Source organism: Homo sapiens, chromosome 1, assembly GCF_000001405.40.
Source record: "Homo sapiens chromosome 1, GRCh38.p14 Primary Assembly".
Taxonomy (NCBI): domain Eukaryota; kingdom Metazoa; phylum Chordata; class Mammalia; order Primates; family Hominidae; genus Homo; species Homo sapiens.
The window spans coordinates 85,608,252-85,632,046 of NC_000001.11; the positions used below are offsets into that span (position 1 = coordinate 85,608,252).

At 42.4% G+C, this 23,795-nt stretch overlaps 2 long non-coding RNA genes across 3 annotated transcripts, besides 1 other annotated feature; one reads left to right on the forward strand and one right to left on the reverse strand.

The window, feature by feature from the left end:
* Positions 10,670-21,471, forward strand: LOC112268231 (uncharacterized). Of its 2 annotated transcripts, XR_007066202.1 has the most exons (3): positions 13,858-16,262; positions 19,370-19,557; positions 19,870-21,471. It is a non-coding gene; the product is annotated as an uncharacterized LOC112268231 (long non-coding RNA). The 2 variants fall into 2 exon arrangements; XR_002958331.2 differs by having other exon boundaries at positions 10,670-19,557.
* Positions 14,855-15,149: an enhancer, noted in NCBI's record as "tiled region #3870; HepG2 Activating DNase matched - State 23:Low". NCBI's record gives its function as "activates a minimal TATA promoter and a strong SV40 promoter by Sharpr-MPRA in HepG2 cells {active_cell/tissue: HepG2}" and the evidence as "EXISTENCE:reporter gene assay evidence [ECO:0000049][PMID:27701403]".
* Positions 16,544-22,727, reverse strand: LOC107985057 (uncharacterized). Its single transcript, XR_001738127.2, has 2 exons — positions 21,339-22,727; positions 16,544-20,691 (listed from the first exon to the last, which is right to left on the reverse strand). It is a non-coding gene; the product is annotated as an uncharacterized LOC107985057 (long non-coding RNA).
* Between the last annotated feature and the right edge of the window lie 1,068 nt (positions 22,728-23,795).

A 23,795-nucleotide genomic window follows, 5' to 3' on the forward strand; every position in this document is an offset into this window, starting at 1 on the left:
AGAGATATTTGGAGTACGGGATGGGCATACACATAGCCAAGCATGGGGTTTCAAATTGGTGTTATTCACCTTATTTCTCCTGCTGCCGTGCAGGCAATGAAATTCTCAGTGAGGCAGGCCACAGACAGATCAGATGCTCTGTTTTCCTCCTTTCTGACTGTAGCTCAGTTTAGAGGATTGAAAATGCTAGGAGACATCTAGCCTACCCTCTCCCTGCTCACACCGCACCTTGCCTCAGAGCTGGTTTTGACATCTGTCCTAGAAGACATCATCCATTGCCTTGATTCATGGGTATGAGTCTAAGCAATCTTAACCACTGCTGGGATTCCATTTGGACAAGGAAAAGCTTTCTCTGCTTTTCAGAACACTCTACAGAGAAACCCTAACTTTAGTAAGGCTCTGGGGACCCCAGGGGAGATCCAGAGAAGTAAAGCACCCAGCCCAATGGAGCTTCCAGAATGCATTTTGAGGGACAGTGCTTTAGTTCTTCCTTTGACCTCAGTCTCTTTTGGTCATTCCTTGTCCCCATTCTACTCCAACTGGAAAGGCTGAGTAGCTGCTCCTGCATATGTCTGTTATTGCAGTGACCCAAAGTAAGAATCTTAAATGAATTTGAAATCCCTTAAAAAAAGAGTAAAAATAGTCCTAGTGGAAAAGATGGTTCAGGAGTTTCACAGAAGGGAATTAGAAGAAGCCATTACTGACTCAAAGAAAAAGATTACTGAATAGATAGCAGAAGGTAACCTCTGCCCTACTTTCAGACCAATGAGTAGATATAAATGACATTACACTCTCGCTTCATGAAAAGTAACTGGAGAGTTGAGATGAGGTGATTCTTGAAAGAAGGAAAGGCTATTAGATTTCTTACTATTAATGATTAAGGTTCCTCAATTTTTTATTAACCAGCCTTTTTTTCTAATGACAAAATACATCCTTATGGTACATAATTCAAACTGTAGAGAAGGGAATAAAGTAAGAAGTAAAATTCCTTTTCTCCACTCCACACCCTCCTTCCCACACCTCCCTGAATACTTCCCTGCGGAAACCACTATTAACAGTTTCTTCTCCATCTTTCTAGAATTGCCTATGTATATTCCAACCTCCTCTGACAATCCTCTTTTTTACTCACCCACAAGAGGCCTTCCAACTTGGCATCTCACATCATGATACCGCCTTTGTCTGGGAAGCTCTTCTCCTCTTTGCATGGCTCCCTCATGGCTGCTACAACCTTCTCGGAATTGTCAACTACTCAGAGAGGTCTCCTGTGACTTCTCTATTTAAACAACCCCACCACCATCACCATTCTCCACCCTGACACCACCAGTGTCTGCCCAACCCTTAGCACAATGTCCAGCACACAGTATTTGATCAATACATGACGGATGCGTGAGTACATTAGGTACGTGCGCATGCACACATATGCATGTATTCTCCCCACAAAGTATAAAGGGGATGGTATTACAGAGATAATTCTGTAATTTGCTTTCCTACTTCACAACATATAATAAAAAACAATAATGATAATATTTCTTAAGCACTTATGTTCCAAGGACTATTCTAAGCATTTTACATGTATTCTTTCATTTAATTCTTACAACAGCCCCTTAAGGTGGTACTAATACTACCCGACTTGCCAGATAAGGAAACAAAGAAATGGAGACATGGGGAGGTTAAAACACAGCTTGCAAGTGGTAGAGCCAATACATAAATTTACACTAATCGTAAAATGGCTGTTTAGCCTTAATTCACATATTAAAATATTTTGTGGCAAAATATACTCAACATAAAATTTATCTTTTTAATAATTTTTAAGTGTACAGCTTAGTGGCATCAAGTATATTCACATTGTTGTGCAACCATCACCACCATCCATCTCCAGAACTTTCTCATCATCCCAAACTGAAACTCAGTACCCATTAAACATTAACTCTCCATGCTCCCCTTCCTCCAGCCCCTGGCAATCACTATGTTATTTCCTGTCTCTATAAATTTGAGCACTGTAGGTCCCTCATAGAAGTAGAATAATATAGTATTTGTGCTTTTGGGATTGGTGATGGGTTTGTTGCACTTAGCAAGTCTTCCTTATTAATTAATTAATATCTAATGAATAATTTTATTGAGTAAAATATTTGAGTGCATGATACAAAATTCAAAAGGCATAGAATAAAAGAGCAAGTTCTCCTTCTACCTCTGTCTCTAGGTACCCCAGGGGCAACCACTCTTCCTAGTGTCCTTCCAAAGATGTTCTATGCATGTACAATTACATTATTTGTATGAGTCATATATGTATAATATATGTATAGCATACTATACATACTGTTTTGTTTCTTGCATTTCCCATTTAACTCTATACCTTGGAGATAGTTACATGTCAATGTACATGGAACTGCCCCTCAGTAAACATAATTTACATAATGTATCCAGCTGTACACTTATAGTATATTCACTTTGTATGTATGTTTCAACAGAAACATAATTTACAGTTCAAAACATAAATTATGTTTTTCTTGAAATATACATACAGAAAGTGAACAGCTGGATACATTTTCACAAACTGAACATACCCCTATAAACAGTACCCTGAAGAAGAAACATTACCAGCATTACTAGTTTCCCAAGTCTCTCATTTTTTATTCCAGACGTTACTCACTGTCACCAATGGTAACTACTCTCCTGACTTAACAGAATAGATTAGTTTTGCGTATTCCTGTAGTTTTGTTGTTGTGGTGGTTTGTTTGTCTGTTTGTTTGTTTTTTAGAGACAGGATCTTGCTCTGTTGCCCAGGCTGTAGTGGCACAATCATATCTCACTATAACCTCCAACTCCTGGGACTCCTGGGCTTAAGTGATCCTTCTGCCTCGGCCTCCCAAACTGCTGGCATTAAAGGTGTGAGACACTGCACCAAGCCCTGTTCATGTAGTTTTTATGAAAATAATCCTGCTGTATACACTCTTATGTTTGGCACATTTCACTCATCCTTACACCTATGAGATTCACCCACGTCGCTGACCTTCAGTTGATCCTTAACAACATCTTTGGATAGGTGAAGGCCCTTGCAGCTGTGGATGAGCCCAGCTGGCATGAGGTCTTACATGTCATACCCACCTTCTCTCAGTCTTGCCCTCACAACCTTTGAATTTCTATAAAGTGCTTTGTAAATGCCTTAAAGAGTCCACATGTATCCAAAATTCATCTCCAGATGTATCTAATGATGAAAACCAGCAGCCCGGAGCTGAGGTTTGTGTAAAGTTACATCAGAGTGAGGAGGGGGGAAGGAGCACAGCCTTCCCATTCTGATCAGTGTCTCTGTGGCCACAGCTCAATAAGACTTGCTTTTTGAGGCCTCATCCACTCAGCCCAGAACTCAAATCTCAAATTCCCCAAACATGAGGAATCATGACAAAGCACTGGTTTGCATTCTCTTGGCAAATGTTACTTTAAAAGTAGAGTCAAAACTACTTCCAAGTAAAGAGCAAAGCAGCTTTAACCAATATCAGCAAAGGGTCTAAGAAAAAAGATGTGGCTAATGTATTCCGTCTGTTTGTTTGCTTTCTTGTGCCCTAAGACTCAGGAGAAAATATCAGTTTGGGAAAGAAGTCATAACACATGGGGCAGGAACAAAATACCAACAGAGCGAAGTTGCACACGCTGTCCAACCTGGTGGCCTGCTTATGAATTTGAAATCCCAGACCTTCACATGAGTCCCCAGCCTCACCCCATCCCTAGCCTGGCACAGACAGGAATATCTATTTCCAGATATGAGCTGTTACATAGCAGAACCAATCTGTACATCCGTGTGGGGCCAATCGTCAGTGCTCTGATTGGCTCATCAGCCAACATGCAGGGCTGCATTCCTGTGGTTCACCCTTCCAGAAGGGCCTTTCCCAACACCACATGCTGCCTGTGCTGTGTCCAGCAGGAGAGGGGGAGGCAAATGATGTGTCTCATGGCACCACAGGCTCTGTTTTACCAGAATAATACTGTTCTTTGGCCCACTGCATCCGTTCTCCCCACATGGGCCTTTTCCTCACGTGGACCCTAAAAGACCACTTCTCTATTTACCTGCCAACCTGTAACAGATAATTATAGTGGCTGCCAGATATCCCTTCAAATTGGTCATGATCTCATTCGGTTATTCTAGCAGCAAAAAAGTTACAGAAAACCCAAGATAATATTAAAAAAAGAAAATCATCCCCTGGCTTTCACCTTTCTTGTGGCAGGCAAGAAAAGGTAGGAAGAATAAGCATAGGAAAAGAAAAGTAAGAGCTTGTGGGGCAAGTTGAAAACAAACCTTACCAAGTCCAGAAAGAATTTTCCATTTAAATGCTTTATAACAATTTTCTCTGATGAGTAGTAGAATGCTGAATAAGACATGTTACTTTTTAGTGACTTTTCAATCTGGCATCTATTGAAAGGTGTTTTATACCCACTGCAGCCAAGAGGAGAGGGTGCAGGGGAGATCACATACTCTCCCAGCAAGGCAGGGATAGAAAGCCCCTGTCACCAGGGGCTGCCGTTTCTCTGGCCCAGGAACCTGTGGAGGCTACTCCTGGATAACTACACACTGTTCAGCTGTATTGCATGCAATTATATCACATTCCTTCCTGGAAACTTCTCCAAAAAGAGAGCAGAGATGAGAAACACTCATAGAGAAAGCTTTCACTGGGGCACACAAGCTGAACTGGCAGGAATCTGAAGAAGGCAAAGCAATGGAATGTTAACCTCGAATGAGTGAACAGGAGATAAGAAAACATCAGCTGACAGAGCAAACACCCCGGAAATGTGACCTGCCTACCCTGGGAATGGCTAGAGCTCTTGAACTAGCCTTTAAATGGAAAGTTCTTCCTGACTCGGGTTTTGAAACCAAGACTGAGCAAAAGCCTCAGTCTTCATTCCTGAGATGAAGTTTAGAGTGCAAAAGATTTCGAATGCAAAAGATTTTGAGAGTTGGTTAGAGCCCGAGGACAAGCCTCTTGTGAACAGAAGTTCCAAGAGTCAACAGTAGCTGGCAGCAGACAACCTCTTCAGGCTGAAGGGTGGCAGAACCCAAGATGGCTAGTGCAGAAGACATCTGAGAGATGGCCCAAGGCTGTCCTTTGCTTTTCAAATGAGGAAAAGGTCCAGAAAGGGCTGTCTAAGGTCACATAGCTGGTTAATGACAGAGCTGGGAGTAGAGCCACATTGAGCTAAGTTGTATTCCTACATCTCTACCAATGTGTAACCCAAATCAAAATAATTGGGGGGCAGAAGAAAGGGGAAAAGTTATGGTCTTTGAAAGTCATTAGTAATCCTATCATTAGACACATAATTAATATCATTTGCCAAGATACTAATGTCTTAAATGTGAGAGGCAATGTCTATTGCACTAATGAGGTGACTGGTACCATGGCCATTTATGGCAGATATATTTTTTCAAATTTAAGACTTTAGCATACACATATACATATGGAGAGAGAAAGAGAGAGTTGATTTACATATATATTTCCCATCTAAACACACACCTTGACCATTTTGCCAGGAAAATAACCAAACAACTTCCATTGAGGTATACAAAGAATGATGACAAAGTTACGTGGCTTATAGTTTAAAAAGAAAGTTTAGGCTGTGTGCGGTGGCTCAGGCCTGTAATCCCAGCACTTTGGGAAGCCAAGGTGGGTGGATCACCTGAGGTTGGGAGTGTGAGACCAGCCTGACCAACATGGAGAAACCCTGTCTCTACTAAAAATACAAAATTAGCTGGGCGTGGTGGCACATGCCTGTAATCCCAGCTGCTCGGGAGACTGAGGCAGGAGAATCACTTGAACCCAGAAGGCAGAGGTTGCAGTGAGCTGAGATCGCACCACTGCACTCCAGCTTGGGCAACAAGAGCAAAACACAGTCTCAAAAAAAAAAAAAAAAAAAAAAAAGAAAGACAGTTTAAAAACAAAATTGCTTGGGTCCCTCCACCTTGCCTTTTCACTCTCTATTAGTTTTTAAAGAGTGGCTTGAGTCACAGTGAAGGTGGAGAAAAAGCAGAAGCAAAGACAGAAGCCCATTCAATCAGGACTACATATGCCCTCGCAGGTGAGGAACAGTTGGCCCAATTGTGAAGTCTCCAGGCTGGGGCAAGGAGGGAAGGCATGCCCAGGAAAAGCATGGGTGAGCTGGGATAGTTTCTATGCTTATTTCTGAAGGCCCATCAAGGAACCAAGAGAAACTAGAATGTCCTGTTGAGGGAGGATGCAGACTTTTTCCCTCATTGTTTCCTAATGTAGGTTAGAACACTGATGGTCTAGAACACTGAAAAAGATCTTTTGTATTCTATTCAAGATAGATGAATGACAGTACAGTCACAGCCAGTTAGAGCTAGAAGGACCTCATAAGTCACCTAGTCTGACATCTTCATTTTCCAGATCAAAAAATGGGGTGCAGATAGATCTAGCAACTTGATTAAGGTGGCCACAAGCTCTCAGAGTGTGTTTTGCCAACCTCTAGTGGGTATATTGGGGCTGGGGGGTGGGGTGCACAGACAGCAAGCACTCCAACAGGTCTGTAGATCTTTCAAAATGCAAGCCAAAATGCACAAAGGTGTGTGCAGAGTACCTCCCTGGTTGGTTTCATAAATTAACTTGAAAATTAAATTGTTACAATTATAATAATTATCCAGTCTTCCAAAAGTATTCATCTGGAGTGTAAGCACTTTAAACATGATCTTCTGTTCTCCTAAAGGTGCTGGAGCATGGGAAGGCTAGCCCGCTGCCAGCCACATGGAGTGGGAGGATCACGGAGCCTGAAGCTGAGAGGCCACAGCACTGCACCTGACATATATTACCAACTTGCCATGCAACTTCATCTCATTGACTCCGCATTCCCATTTTTTGGAGTGGATCACCTGCAGTTCCCTTGACAACTGAGTGTCTGTATTTTTCTGTATCGTCCAGTGTGATGACAACTGTCTACACAACCAAGTCTGGCCAGCACTGAACACACTCAGCTTCCCCACAGTGCTCCAAGTCTCAAAGCCCAAACTGCAGCCAAATCTTGGCAGTGTTGTCCTCTGGTCAGGCCAGAGCACCTTTCTGAAGGACCTTTCTGAACATTTTTAGACCATTCGATGAATGACCCTAAATTCTTGGCGCATAATTGGGACTGCTGCCATCACGCCAGAAACATTTATTAAGCACTTACTGTGTACAGTGCTCAAGACCTGCCATCTTGTTTCCATCTTGACAACAATGATGCACAGTAGGGGTTGTCATTCCCCGTTTCAGAGAAGAGTAAAGCTCAGCAGTGGCCCAGTAACTTGCCCAAGGCCACACAGCTACTGGGTGGCAGAACTGAATTAAACCCTCCACTTTTTGACTCTAACACCTTTGCCTCCCTCCTTAGGGCGCAGGCACACCCAGCCAGGCTGAGAGGCACTCAGGCACTCTCGAACTTCATGTTTGTCATGCATACATATGACTTCCTTCGACTTCTCTGCAAATTTCCACCATATGCATTTCCATAGCAACATTGCAACACAAACACGGTGTAATCTTTGTCCACTGCAGTACATAGCTTGAAAGGTTTTTTTGTTTTGTTTTGTTGTTTTGTTTTAAATAAAAAGGAGCTGCATATGTTTACAGCTGACCTAGATCCCATGGCAACAAATAACAGATATAAACTTGGGTTCTTTTCCTTTCCTTTCCTTTCTCTAAATCTTTTTATTCTTTTCTCTTGTATGGTAATAGTTTAGAACATCAAAAACTGGGTTGCACCATTTGCGATTAAGCAGGGCCCCTATTCGGTGACCGCTGCGCCGCCAGCCTGGCGCGGGCCTCCTGCAAGACAATGGCCACGACCTGACGCGCGAGCGCCAGCCCCAGCCCGGGAGTCACGCCGCTGGCGCTTGACGCACGCGGAGACCCGGGGGCCGTGCCCCAGCTTTGTGGAACCTGAGGGCGGCTCGGGTCAGGTCGGTCCCCGCGGGAGGACAGGCGCGACCCGTCCCTCAGGACCGACGGCGTGTGGCTGCGGGGGCATGGGGTGCCCCTCTCGGCCCGGTCGCTCCAGCGAGGGGACGCTGGTAAGTCCCACCCCTGCCATCGCCGCGGGCCTCCTGGGCACGCCCGGCCGCGGGCCCCAGATTACCCTCCCGGCGACCCTCCAGGCGGTATTGCTGTCAGACACATTTTACAAATGCAACCCTCCAGCCTAACGAAGGCCAGCACCTGGCCCACGCCCACAGGCTGGGAAGGGAGAGTGCAGGGATTAGAATCCAGCACTTTTTAAAGATTTTGTTTCACTCTACTTCCCGTGGCTCCTCGCCCCAAGGGCACTGTGGAACTATCTCTGCCCAGGATCACTTATCTGAAGCCGGTGTTATGCTTCCTTCCCGGGCAGTCCCTGGGTGCAGCTTCCGGACGGGCTAGCTTGGGAGGCATTCCTTTCCCTGGCTGATGCAGGAAGGTGGGTTTGTCTGTCTGTGGTCCCTGGTTCTCCCCTCTGATTCTCCCTCTTCCCAGAGCCCCAGCTTTTAAAGGCTTCATATTCCTGACAAATGGAGATCCACTGACATGAAGAAATTCTCAAGCAACTAGGCAACTGGGATTGTGCAGGGGCTTGCCCCTGATCCTATAGTAAAAGGTCCAGCCCTCACTAGCTGAAGGTGAGGAGGAATTTCATTGGGGAAATGTCATTCTTTGTTTCACTGTCATGAATCCAGTGAAACTTATTATCACCAGAAATGCCCCTTGGCTGCTTCCTCGCTGAAATTGTGCTGAGGTATCTGATGGCCCACTGAGGTAGTGGATAGGAGGTTGGACAGCCAAGTGGTGATAAGAAAACCTACCATTTCGGTAGTACTCACTCGGTGCCAGGTGCTCTGAGCAGCTCTCTATAACACTGCCTCCTCACAAACCCCAAAGGCAGGATTATTATACTATTATATAGTCATAATATTAATATGAATATGATACTATTAATAATAAATTTATTCTTGCTTACCACGTGAGGGATCCAAAGCTTGAAGAGGTCACCTATCCTGTCTAGATCCCACTTCCGACTCTAGAGCCTGTCCAGGAGTGATTTCCCCATAGAAGGGAAAGGGGGCTGCTCAGCAGAGAAACAGAAATAAGATTGTGCCAGGAGAGATCGCATTATTCCTCAGACTCAAAGGCCGATTTGCACACCTTTACGATAGGTAGAGGGAGAAGAGTGGAAACACCCCTATCTCTTTGTCCAAACCCACAGCGAGATCCAAGGCTCAGTCAGGAAGGCTCTTCATTTAGTCAATTGTTTTCTGTTTTCAGAACTAAAGTGGAAATGACCCAGTGAGGAAGGAAAATAAGCACAGAATAAGCATGATCTGCCTTGGTCACACAATTAAAATACATAACGCTGCTAAAGGTACACCACTCTTCCACCCACCCCTTCAGAGTGAGAAAGGCCCTTTTTGCCCTGGAAGCCTACTGAAGCATTCTACTGGGGAAGTATTCTACTGAAATATTCTAGTGGGGAAGTCCCTGCCGCTTCTGAAGGAACACTGAAAGAAACCTTATTCCTTAGAGTACAGTCACCCAGAGGGTTTATTCTAGAAATGCAGAGAGGCATTAGAGATGGTATGTGAACAAAAGCAGGGCAGAGGATGCACGCCCAGATGCTGTCTTGGCCAGGTTGCAATTCGAATGATCTAATGTTTTCTGGCTTCTTATTGCTTTGCTTTTCCAATTTGGTTTGGATATTTGCATTACTGTATTATTTTCCCTGTACAATTGCTGTTGTCTGTACACAATTAGGTCATTTTCACAGTTGGGTGAGGACACACTTCAGAAGTGAGATGAGCTACAGCTGCTAGCTGGCTCTCTCCTGGGATGTGTACTTAGATCCCTTTCTTGTTGGTCCCAAAGACTACCTGTACCCAGGACCTGAAAATTTTAATCTAAGTCATCTAATGAGTGGAAAGAACTACAGCATCCCCTTGTAATGGTAGGTAAGAGATATCTTGTAAGTTTTGGGTTGATTTGCTGATCAATGGTTCCTTGGGCCTAACCCCATATTGTTAAGCTCCAAACAAAAGAAAGGACTGTTTCCCAGTTGCTTGTGGCTTCTTGGTCCATGAAGTTCTGCTGAAATGGACCCTGGGCAAGGAAAAAAAAAGGGAAGTTATAGAGCGGAGGAAGCGTAAGCTGCCCCTAGACGTGAGCCCAGAATTTTACAAGCAAGTATAGAAGCTGGCCTTTGAACAAGGACCTTGAAGAGTGAGAAAAAAGGGATCCCAAAGGAATGGAGGCTTATTGTGCAGATGAATACTGATTATGGCCATGTTCACAAAGTACACTGCAACACCTCAACAGTGTAAAATCTCACTAATACATACCCCACTAATTCAGCCTTCTCAACTCTCTGGAATATGTGGCCTTTTGGGTAAAGCCAGGGCTAAAATTCACTTTTGTGCTATCTCCAAAAATGAAGTTGGGCTAAACAAATAGAAAGGACAGGCTGCTATTAAAGTCACTGGGGAAGCCCGTGACTCTTTAAGTTCATAATCAGACATGATAGTATCCACCTCATTAAATGCCCCATTATGGGCAGGACCATCTCTCTGGCTCAGCTTGTTTCCTATTTGCTTCCTCTCGTGGTACCTTAGGTCTGCATCTATGACATTGACCTTGTTTCTCCTCTCCTCTTTTCTCTCTCTCTCTTTTTTTTTTTTTTTTTTTTTTTGAGACAGAGTCTTGCTCAGTCACCCAGGCTGGAGTGCAGTGGCGCTATCTCAGCTCACTGCAAGATCCGCCTCCCAGGTTCACACCATTCTCCTGCCTCAGCCTCCCGAGTAGCTGGGACTACAGGCACCTGCCACCACACCCGGCTAATTTTTTTTGTATTTTTAGTAGAGACAGGGTTTCACCATGTTAGCCAGTATGGTCTTGATCTCCTGACCTCGTGATCTACCCGCCTCAGCCTCCCAAAGTGCTGGGATTACAGGCGTGAGACACCACGCCCGGCTCTTTTCTCTTTTTATCTAAATTATTCATTCATCATTTATGCAATAGATATTGTGCTCCTTCTATAACTCAAGCATGTGCTAAATGCTGGAGTTACAACAAGTAAATACGGAACGTTTGCTCTCAGGGAGGTCATAGTCTAATGTGGAAAACTGATGATAAAGTGTGATGGACATGGAGACCCACATCCAAGCATGAAGTGATGCCTGAATGATGAGGCAGCTAAGACTCAGAGAAACTGAAGACTTTTTCCAAGTTCTCTCAGTTGGCTGATGACAGGGTTGGAACTGAAGAGATCAGTCAGAACAAAAGCCTGGTCTTCTGCCACTACCTCCTTGAGATTTCCCAGACTCCCACGTTTGGGGGCTTCTCCTCTTGTTCTTTCTATCCAGTTGCACGTAGTTCATACTCACTCTTTTCCTAGCACTGATCTATTCCTACCTCAGTAGAATTCACATTTATCACTAAAGCCAGGCATCTGCCCTACCTCCCTCTAAGGATTGATGTGCTGATAAATTGAGCTAATCAATGTAAAAGTACTTTAAGAAGTACACTGCAACACAAACCTAAGTCCCAAAACCACAATCTAATTAACATATTAATTTAATCAATGAATCAGTCAAAATATCAATCACAAATTAATGCTAGGTTCTGTGGGAGATAAGGCATGTCTTCATATACAGCATGGCCCCATCCCTAAAGGAATTTATGGATGAGTTGGTGGTAAAAAGTTAAAGAAGAAAGAAAGTAGGCATTTATTGAGTGCCTATCATGTAGTATGCACTGTGCTATCTGCTTTTCCTTATATTATCTCACAATAATCCTCACAACATTCTAGGAGGTAGTCATTATTTTCTTCAATGTTTGGATAGAATGTTTCGATAGAATGCCCTCCCCCAATGCCTCTCTGTTCGAGCACAACATGGCATAATAGCTAAAAAGCCTTGGATCAGGGCTCAAACTGAATTTGTATCCAGGCACTGCCAATTACTTTCTGTATACTCTGAGGAAATTGCTCAAATTTTCTGCACCTCAGTTATAAAATCAGGAAGATAAGAATAGTACCAATTGTATGCTTTGTTGTAAGGATAAGGTGACCATATATGTTGACGTATTTGCCACAGTGGCTGGTCCAGAGTAAGCACTAGATAAAAGCTAAGATATTATTATTACTATCCAGCTCCAACTCCTTTTTATCTGCAGTCTTCCCAGATCTCCTATCGAAATTAGTCTCTTTTACCTCTGTATCTTCACATTACTATAGGCATGCTTCTCATCATGTTCATATGTGTACCTGATTATTACTGCTTAGCACAGAAAAAATAATAAATGTAGGTGATTAGATGAATGTCTCCCAGAATGACATCACATGCTCATAGAAGGAAGGAAGTATTGTGTTTCTAGCTATAAGGCAGACAAAATGCCTGGATATTATAGATAAAGTATACTTTCAAATGCCTAGTCAACTCTCATGTAAATTGGAGAAACCCCCAAGGGGACACACACACACACACACACACACACACACACACACACACGAGGGATTGGAATCCAGCACGGTAAACAGGCACTAAAGCTACTGCTGCTCTGGAAAGTCTATCTTATTAACTTTGAGGCTCAGTTTAAAGGGCATTATGGAGAACAGGAGCCAAGGCTTAGTACCTTCAAAAAATGGAGAGTTGGAACTGAGACCCCTGCATAAAAGTGAGACTCACAAAGAAATATGTACTCAGTGAAAGGGTAGACTAGGAAAAAAAAAAAAAAGAAAAAAGGAAACCTGCTTATCTGCAATAAAGAAAAGCAGGGAAATATGTTGGCCTTGGCCTGGGCTCATAAGATGTTAAAATCACAGATACACCTCCCTAACCACAGGTTCAGGGTTTGAATTTATACTACCTACATGATCTTGGAAGTCTCAGTTGAAAAAATCAGTTTAAACTGGCCTCAGGTTGATACCACCCCAGGGTACCTGGCAGAAGCAGATCTTATCGGAGGGACAGCCACCCAGGCCTCATAGGAGTGTAACAAACAAAGCCCCACTGAATACGAGATCACAATTTGAAATTACAAACCATACTAGGAAACAAGCTACCATGAGTGAGAGCCAGCAGAAACCACAATGAACAGAATTAGACTTTACATAACAGTTATTCTATATAAATTGTTTTAAATTTAAAAGAAATATAAGAGAAATACGAATATGGAAAAGGAATAAATAACATATAAAAAGACCAAGGAGAATGAAGAAAGAACCAAATACTACTTACAGAAATCAAAATATACAATCATCAAAGTTAGAAACACAGCGAATGAGTCTAAGTAGAGAAGACACAGGTAAAGAGAGAATTAAGGAAATGGAAGATAAATGTGAAGAAATTACCCAGCAAAAGGGCAGAGGCACAAATAAATGAGAAACATGAGATGTTAAGGGGACAGGAAGAAAAAACCCAATGTGAAAAAGGCAATATTTAGAGATAATGTTTCCAGAATTAAGGATAAGAAGCTGATTAGTTTGATCTTTGAAACTACAGCACCTGGCAAGTGCCTGTTAGATGCCTAATAATGTTCTTTGAGTTGGATTGACACAAGTCCTTTAGCATTTGCTTGTCCTTTACTTCATATATTTATTCGTTTTAAAAAATATTCAGTAGAAATACAGAGGTGAACAAAACAAAGTTCTTCTTTGAGTTTGTGTTCTGGACAAAAATGACAAATAATAAACAAATTTACAAATTAAAATGAGATACTTTTGAATTATAAGAAGTGCTATGAAGGAAATAAAAGGGCTACTTAATAGCAACTTGGGAATAGGATTTCACTGAAGAAGTGAGACCTCAGTAAGAAGTGAAGTGAAAGTATTCCAAGTGAAGATACAGCACATACCAAGGCCCTGAGTGAGAAATCACTTGGTGTTTTTGAGAAAAAGAAGTCAATGGGTCTGGGCTGAGTGAGTGACATGGAGAGTGGTATAAGATGTGGTTGGAGAGTGGTATAAGATGTGGTTTGAGAGGTAGGCAAGAACAATGGGATTTTTTTTTATTTTTAAATAAATTTGAGAGCAACAGAAAGTCATTGGAGAGTTTCAGGCACAGGAGTGATGTGCTCTGTCACCCTGGCTACTCTGGAAATAGAATGTAGTGGGGGCAAGAATGGAAGCAGGGAGTCTAGTTAGTAACTTCAGTTGTCCATGCAAGAGACAACAGCAGCTTGGGCTAGGGTGATAGCCATGAGTATGGAGAGAAGTGTATGGATTTAGATATGTTTTGAAAATAGAAACATTGTATTTGATGGAGACAACAGAAAAGATGAAGGAAAGGGAAGGAGGGATCAAGTATCATTCCTGTTTTCTGGATTGAGCAGCTGGGCAAACAGTGGTGCCATTTTCCAAGATGAAGAATAGAAGAGTAACGCTTGGGTAGGGGTGGGATGGGAACATGAAATAGGAGTCCTGTTCTGGACATGTTAAGCTCAAGATGCCCATTAGATGTTCAGGTAGACAGCTGTATATGGCAATATGGATGACCTCAGGAAAATGAGCCCTAAACCAAGGAATGCTCATATTTTGAGACATGTGTTTCCTTCAAGATCCACCTGTGTCATAGGCTTGAACAGGGGTATGTGTAGGGGACTGAGCACTTCCAGCTACAGATTCTCTGGGAAAAGGGCCAGTGTAACTCTTGAGTTCAAGAAACGCTGCCTGTACCCCTGCCCAACTTAGAAGTGGAGCTTAGGTTCTTCCAGGCCTGCCTAACCCTGATGCTTTTGGTAGCTGATGTAGTTTTAAGCCAATGTGCTTTCTGAGGGATGCCAAAAGAATGAGTATGGAAAATGACTTGGTGACAAACCCAGGCAGCTCTTCTGTGGGGAAGGGTGGAGGAGTCCTCATGCAATCTGGCTCCCACCCATTCCCACCCACCAGCTGAGGGCATTGTATCCAAGAGATCCAAGGGAGTAGAGTCAAGAAGATGACGCATCAGGAGGTACAAAGAAAAAGGAGATCCCAGATGAGGTAATGACCAAAAAATGCCATAACCCATTACATAAGTGAAAGTGAAACCTGAGGAACAAATAAACAAAGGGTATCAGATTGATGTAAAAATACAAGAAGCTCACTCTGTGGTTGCTGACATACATCATTGTGGAAACAAAATCATGTCCAAAATGACTATGGTTAAACTTGGAACCACATGACAGGAGTTTTAGGAAGTTCCAAAAGAATCAAAAATAACTTGAACAAAGTAGCATTCTTCCCTGGGCTTATGGCTTTGAGAAAGGACAAGTGCCCCTCTGGAGAGAAGAACAACAGTCCACAGGGGACCAAGTGGCTCAAGGGAGTTCATGTGAATGAAGGAAACTACTGTCTTTGGAATGTATTGGAAAATTGTCTGACACCTGATATTAGTCAGGATTCAGTTCTCAAGTCCATTAGATTACAGTAGGATAGTTGTTGTTGTTGTTGTTTTCTCAGCTGAATATATATATTCAGACCCACTGCAATTTCTCTCCTTTCATTCCTCAAGAAAACCAAGAATGTGGCCAGGCATGGTTGTTCACGACTGTAATTCCTACCTTAGGAGGCTGTGGGTGGATTACTTGAGTCCAGGAGTTCGAGACCAGCCTGGCCAACATGGCGAAACCCTGTCTCTACTAAAAATACAAAAAATTAGTAGCAATAGTAGTAGTTCCCGCTACCTGGGAGGCTGAGGCACAAGAATCGCTTGAACCTGGGAGGTGGAGGTTGCAGTGAGCCAAGATCACGCCACTATACTCCAGCCTGGGTGACGAAGTGAGAGTCTGTCTCAAAAACAAAACACAAAACCCAAAAAACTAAGAATGTTACTTTACACTTGTACCTAATAACGCACTTTGCATTGGTCACTAGGAAACTCAGAACCAAATTTGTGGACTACCCTTAATGTACTAAGTACATAAAACTTTAGGTAGCATATATCTTGTGTGTTAACCTCATTACTGGCTTAATCTTATTTCTATACCCTATTTTTCTCTTATCCCCATTTTCTTTTCTTAAAAAATAGTGTATTGGACATATTATGTGTTTTGAAACAAAGTAGAATACAAATAAACAAATAAGTCGACTTTCTGTCCAAACAAGACAGCATGAAAAGCAGGAACTTGGTGGTGGTATGACGTTTCAATGAACCAAAGAGGCTCTGATTACCGTCTGTAGACACCCACGGCACAATTATTAAGTTCATTAGACAGAGAGGAATCTGGATTCAGCTGTGACAGGACAGCAAATTAAATATACATGGACAAAAGGAGGAGGCATTCAAGGTAAGATGTGCAGAGCCAACAAAAACAATCAAATGCGTAATTCTAACTCCTGTATGGGTTGATTTCCATGTGGGCCAGGGAAGCCTTCCAGGACAACCTCCTTTGGCCTGCCTGGGTGGTTACCTCTTATAGAAACTCAGCTGTATCTTGGGCATGGCTGGTCTGTCAGCTTTTACCCATGGGGAATAGCCAAACTCTTGTCTAGATGAGTGGGTTAAAAACCACCTCTGATCTCTGGAAAGGTTACTTTGCCTACCTTCTGGTCATTTATTTACATTTCGTAGTCTTCATTATTTATTTATTTATTTTTACAATTACAAAAATAATTAAAAAATAAAACTACAGCAGTAATATAAAGGCAATAACAATTCAAATAATATCAAAATACATAAAATATAAAATCAAGCTTCCCTTTCTTTCCCTCTATTCTCCCATTCCATTGCTCCTCTCCCATTCCTCACGAGTAACCACTGGCAGTTGTTCAGTATGAATCCTTCTGGATCTTTCCTATGCACATTTAGACGTATTTACACATACACATACCATAAAAAGTCTGTGTATAGCTTTGTTTTTTAAAAAAGAATTTTTCTACTCACATTTTTCTGTAACTGGTTTTTGTAACTAATATATTGTAGATTCTACTTATATACAGACCAACCACACTCTTTTTAATGGCTGTAGAGTGAATCATGAAATCATAGTAAAAATATACATTAATGTATTCAGCCTAGTAAGTAGCATTTACATTGTTTCTAATATTTTGATAGAATAAATTAATACTGCATCAGATTCTTATGCCTGTGTCCTTTGGCTCTTATTTCTAACAGTAGAACAGCTGAGTTAAAGAGTATACATGTTGAATTTTGATAGGCACTGCCACACTGCTTTCCAGAAAGATTGACCAATTACCATTCTACCAACAAAGATTGTCCTTTGTTCACATTCTCACCAACAGTGGACACTGTCAGTGTTTTTAATTTTGACAGAACTGATTGGCAAGAGCATGCTATTTATTTTGATTTATAGTTACCTGATCAGTAGTAAGATTGAGCTCATTTTCAGTCTCTCCTTTTACTATGGCTACAATAAAAGAGCTGAAAGTGTGGTTTTTGATTTATTTCTTTTAGATATAAATGACCAATCCAAATAGTGATATTTTGAACTACTAATTTCTAAGAAGATTCACATTGGAATGTTACATATCTCCATATTAGGAAAATCAGTCATAATTGAACTCCCAAAGTCAAATTACATCTGATGTTTATTCTGGGATTCATATAATTGTTTTTGGCCAAAAGTATTGAAAGATGCCAGAACTATATTCTTTTTTTACTTTTGTTTCCTTTATTTCTTCTAAAAAAAAAAAAAACAACAAACTTAGGATACATGTGCAGAACATGTAGGTTTGTTACATAGGTATACGTGTGCCATGGTGGTTTGCTGCACCTATTGACCCGTCCTCTAAGTTCCCTCCCCTGACTCCCCACCCCCATACAGGCCCTGGTATGTGTTGGCCAGAACTATATTCTGTTGATTTTGTACCAAATTTATCACACTAGGAGTTGCAAGTAACAGAAAGAACTGTGACCAAACTATGGAAAAAGAAATTTATTAGGAGACTATTTGGAGTCCATTGTTGTGCTAATTAATGGGTGACTGGTCACCAGGAACCACTACCGCAGTCTCATAGCAGGCATGGTATGGCTGGTAGGTCACCTCCACACAGCAAATGTTTTAAGTTTCTTGGTCTCTGTGCTCAAGAGTTTAATTCTAGGGGGAAAGCATTTGATTGGCCTAATGTGGGCCTCAAGGGAAGGAAGGCTTTTAATGACAGCCCCCAAAGACTAAATCCAACGGGAAAGAGATCTTCCTTTAAAAGGAAATTGGGGTATTGTTAGGACGTGAAATGGATGCTGGTCAGAAAAAACAAAACAAACCAAACCAAATTATCCCTACACTAAACTTACCAATTGCCTTTTCTTCTCTTTACCTTGTAAACCTGTCAGTGCCCAGTCACTGTAGACAACCTCACCGGCAACATGCTGCCCACACCTAGAATAGGAGCCCATGGGGCAGAATAATGGAGACCGTCCCATTCCTTACAGTTTGTATAATGCTTGCTCAAGTATATTGAACTCTGCCAGTCCTGGAATCAAAACATTTTAGTCTTAGAACAAGAACTGAGAGGTTTTCATACTGACTTTCACTCATTCTCCATTCTCCTTAATTCTCCTCAAATGCATAGAAATCCTGTGTTTCATGTGTTCATTCATTCTTCTATGCAACCACTATTTATGGATGGCAACCCTGTGCTAGACATTGTTCTAGGTGCTGAGGAAACAAAAGTGAAGTGGAAAGACATATCTGCCCTGGTGAGGCTGGAAGGAGCAAGCAAGGCTGGAGTTGGACTTTAGATCTTATCTGAAATGCAATAGGAAGCCACTCAAAGCTTTTGGGCAGGCAAGAAACATGATCAGATCATATTTTTAGACACATTATGCAAACTGGTATATAGAGAATGGACTGCAAGGAGAAATGAACCAGGCCAAGAGGCCAGTCAGAGGACCAGTGTAGTAGCTAGATGAAAAAAAAAGATGGTAGCCTGGACTAGTTTGGTGGCCAAAGAGATAAAGAGATGTGGACAGAATGAAGAGATATTTCTGAGGCAAAATGAATGGGGTGGGGTAGGGGGAGTGGTGGTAGTACAGGAAAGAAAAGAGTCAAAGATAACTGATTTTTCTGGCATGAGTGACCAAGTAAATGGTGACTACAATGGGTAACCCAAGAGGCCTTGGCTAGAGGGCAAGCAGAGTAAAGGATGAATTACCTTTGGGTCAGTCTGAGCACATGTGCAATTCTCATGTCAAGTATGGAGTAGACTGTCTAAATCTGAAGCTCAGGAGAGAGATCCAGCATGTGAAGTCACCAGTGGCTACAAGGCCAAGGAGTTAGAAGACACTGCCCAAGGAGAGTACAGATTGAACAGAGAGGGATATCAACACTGGACTTACATATTTTAAATGAAGAAACTCCGGAATATTTTGCCTCAAAAACTGTGACTTCTGTATTCCACGGACCACTACATTAATTTTTCTCTTCTATTGCAGCTTTTTATAGTCTTCAACAACAACCAGTCCCTACATTTAAGAAGGTTAATAACTGAGACAGCCTTCCTGGTGGATCCATCATTTGGCCCAGCTTGTAGAAAGATTCCCAACTAGCTCTAATTAGTTCCATCTTATTTGGAGGCAGAGGTATTCCTCATCATACCCATATCCTCATATAAATTGTCCAGGTAAGTTGCCCACCTTTATTTCAAGGGCTTAGAGATATGCAGGGCCACTGGACCCAGGACTGCACAGGGTATGGGGTGGTGATGGTGGTAAGGTGGAGCTTACCTTTAAAGACAGCCCAGCCCTGACTGAGTCCCTTCTACTCTATTCCTTATTCCTCATGGCAGATTTAAGGACCCCACTCCCTCTACCCAGTCCTCTCTGGTCCTACTTGCCCCTCTCCTGGCTGTCTTCCTTACCCTAGGGCTAAATTATACAGTCATTGGATATGGAAAGATTGTACTTTGAGTCTTTATTTCTGTTCCCATCTGAAGTGCCCTAGGTACCAGGGAGAAAGAAGACGAAGAAGGACATATACCAGAAGCACATTAATAGGCTGCTGAAAAACTCTGCCACACTTTCAGATGACAGGTCACCTACAGATAAATGATTCAAGGATCAACCAAGTTCTGAAGTTTTTTTTTGTTTTTTTTTTTTGGGATAGAGTCTCACTGTGTCACCCAGGCTGGAGTGCAGTGGCGTGATCTCAGCTCACTGCAACCTCTGCCTCCCGAGTTCAAGTGATTCTCCTGCCTCAGCCTCCCAAGTAGCTGGGATTATAGGTGCCTGCCACCAGGCCTGGCTAATTATTTTTTGTATTTTTAGTAGAAACATAGTTTCACTATGTTGGCCAGGCTGGTCTTGAACTCCTGACCTTGTGATCCACCCGCCTCAGCCTCCCAAAGTGCTGGGATACAGGTGTGAGCCACCATGCCCGGCCAGTTCTTAATACTGCCAGGAGTGCTTTAGAAGGCTGGGAATATGGGGCGAAAGATTAGACACCCAAGCTGTTGAAAACCACACAGAGTTTCAGTAAATATATGCACAATTTGAAAAATATATTTGCAAAAATCTAGGTGTCTCCGGTCTAGTCCTTCCTATTAATCAAATAAATTACCGAGCTTCATGGCCCAGTCTATGATCCTAGTTCTGACCGCTGCTGCCCGTAAAGGCCTCAATGAATTCCTCTCTGAGCTTCCAGACTTCCTTGGCTGGTGACTTGTTCCTCTTGGGACAGCTTTTGCTTGAGCTGAGCAGCCTGGCCCCCAGCTGTGCAGGGCCCTCTCTCCGGTGAGAGGAAACGCTTTCAGCTTAGTCTGTTAACACAAACATTCAAAAGCAAACATTCAAAAGCCACAGATCATGTTCGCATAAATAAAATAGGATTGAGAAAAGCTTTGCCCCAAGAAACCAAAGGGGTGTTTAAAAAACAGCTCTTGCTTTCCAAGTAGGCAGGCAGCAAAGCCACAGCAATTCCAAAGGTTTGTGTGCTTGGTAGAGCTGGGTGGCTGCAGCCGCAGGCCTTTGAAGAGGAAATGCCATCCCTGGTACAGGCAGGCGGCCAACCCATGAGTCCTGAAAGTACCAGAGAGAAGCAGAAAGCAGGGGAGCACAGTTAGGAAGTGAAAAGGGAGAGGAAGGCACCAAGGAGATAAATGAGGAGACTCTTCTTATCTAGAGTTCCCACCCCAGACCTAAGAGCTACAGGACAGAGGAACTCACTGTGCCTGACAGAGCTGGGGCCTGGTGAGTCCTAGGTGGCGGGCACAGCCCAGAGTGACTAAGGCTGTGAGGAGGGGTGTGCGCCGTCACTGAGGGGTGGAGAGGGGTGGTGGTGTCTGGGCTGGGAGATGCCTTTGCTTTGAAAGCTTTGGAGGAAATTAACTTTACAAGGTGCCTCCCTGTCTCCCAGAGTTATTAAAAGAAAGGAGGGAGCAAAGAAGAAATGGAAAAATGGTAATACCTCAGGAAGGGCTGTGTGATCCCAACTGGAGGAAATGGGAGGCAGATGAAGTGACGAATGTGCAACCTCTCCTAAGGGAGGAAGAGCTCTGAATGTGACCTTGTGCAAATGGAAAAAAAAAAAAACAAACAAACAAAAACACACACAAATCCAACAAGAGCCAGTGTGACTAACGAGAAAACACACACACATGCAAACACACACACATACAGCCCTTTGAAGATCTAGAAATGAGTGACTAATTAAATAGCCTAAAAACCTCCAAGTGCATAAAGTTTCTGTCAGTACTCCTGTTTCAATAAAGCAGCAGTGAAAGCCCATAGAATGGCAGGAGTGGATGAGTTACTATAAATCATGGGGTCACCAGAAGGTATAAATCTGGGAGTCTTTGAGAGTCATTATAGTTTGGGCTCATAGATAGATATCTAGGCATTGATTGCTCTTTCACCGATAAAGAAAACAAAGTACTGGATCTAAAAATTCTTCTAAAAAAAGAGAATTCAACTGAAGCTACATATTTCATGGAGCATGAAGCCAGCTGTTTTCCTGCATGTTAAAAAATAAGTATTTAATTAAAAAAAAAAAGACCTCTTGCCTGACCATAACCAGATCAGGCAAGGCCACCTTGCCTATGAAGGCTAGAGTGTCCGTTATGACCTTGCATGTGTTGGTTTGCGCAGTTTCTGTTCTGAGGTATGTCAGTGAGGATACTCAGTGGTGTTGTCAGGACAAGGTTAGGACACTGTATTTAAAAGTTGAATAATTTCCTAAATATCTTTTAATCTCTCCTTGATCCATATTAAGCTCACTAATATTTTCAGTCTATATCAATCTCTTGAGTACTAGGTTCCATAAGGTTACTGCTTCATTCACTTTCTACATTTTTGTGTATCCTGAAGTTACTTTAGCTACATTTCTAGAGAAGCCCTCATGCTCTACCATTCTCAGATTTAATAAATTGGCTGATAGAAACAAGATCCCCCCAAAAATCTCAACAGACTGGAATGATAAAAAGGATTAAGAATAAATTAGGAATTTTGAACTGAGGTTCAGTAATCAGCCAGTTAACTATGGAATGATGGTAAAAAAAAGATGGATGCTGCCACTTAATGGTCAACCATGGGATGTGGTGATCTCAGGCTGCTTTAATGGAAACATAAGGTCCAGGACAAATGGTGGATAGCGCCAGCTTAATTCTACCTTTCAAATATATTAAGTTATGTTCCAGACACAAAGCTTTAAACGGTACAAGGACATTTGAATATTACATCAAAAAAGAATGATGAGAACATGAAGTGATTAAAAACCATAGTCCAGGCCGGACGCAGTGGCTCACGCCTGTAATCCCAGTACTTTGGGAGGCCGAGGTAGGCAGATCACAAGATCAGGAGTTCGAGACCAGCCTGGCCAACATAGTGAAACCCCATCTCTACTAAAAATACAAAAATTAGCCGGGTGTGGTGGTGCACACCTGTAGTTCCAGCTTCTCGGGAGGCCGAGGCAGGGGAATCGCTTGAACCTGGGGGGCGGAGGTTGCAGTGAGCCAAGATCGTGCCACTGCTCTCCAGCTTGGGCAACAGAGTGAGACATTGTCTCAAAACAACAACAAACAACAACAAAAACCAATCAAACAAAAAAAAAAAACCGAGTCCATGAAAATAGACTGTATGTCTGTGTGCGTGTGTGTGTGTTTCTGTAGGGAGAGGTGGAGAGGGTAGAGTAACTGTCTTGACACATTTGAAGGTGAGGAGTGGCTTCAGTGGGAAGAACTAGAAACAAATGAAAAGAAATTTCAAGGAACTCAGTATAAGGGGAAACTTTTCTAACTATCAGAACTGCCAGAATGGAATGTACTGCCTCAAATGATAAGTTTCCCATCACTGCGGGTATTGAAGTAGAGGCTGGATAACCACTTGAGAGAGATGCTTTGGAGAGAATTGTGACACTGAAGTCGTGGAAGGGTGGGGAGGTGACTTCATGATCTCTAGGGTCCCTTCCAGTTACAAGATTCCATATTTAATATCCTCACCCTTCATTCACCAACTGGGCAATCCCTAAAAAAGCCATTTATCTCTTTAAGCTTTAATATTCTTTTCAATAAAAACATTACCTGCGCCTTCACAGGTTTGATCCTTTCAATGAAAGTCAAAACCTGTGACTTCACAGGTTTGATGTGAAATACTAGTTATATTCTTCTAGGACTCATAATAATAATGTTTATTAAAATAAAAAATGTTAATGAAACACCTAAAAATCAATTTGCCTGTCTCCTGACGCACATTGCGAGGCCCTGACTAATTGATCTTTATGGTTCTTTTGGTTCTAAAAGTCTACAGATCCTGTGGTTCTGCAGATTTCAATTATAGAAGACAGGACTTTGGAAAACATGAAAAGACCACTTAAAAGAGGTGCTCATTTGAATTTCCTCACATCATCTATATCACGTGGGAAACTTTG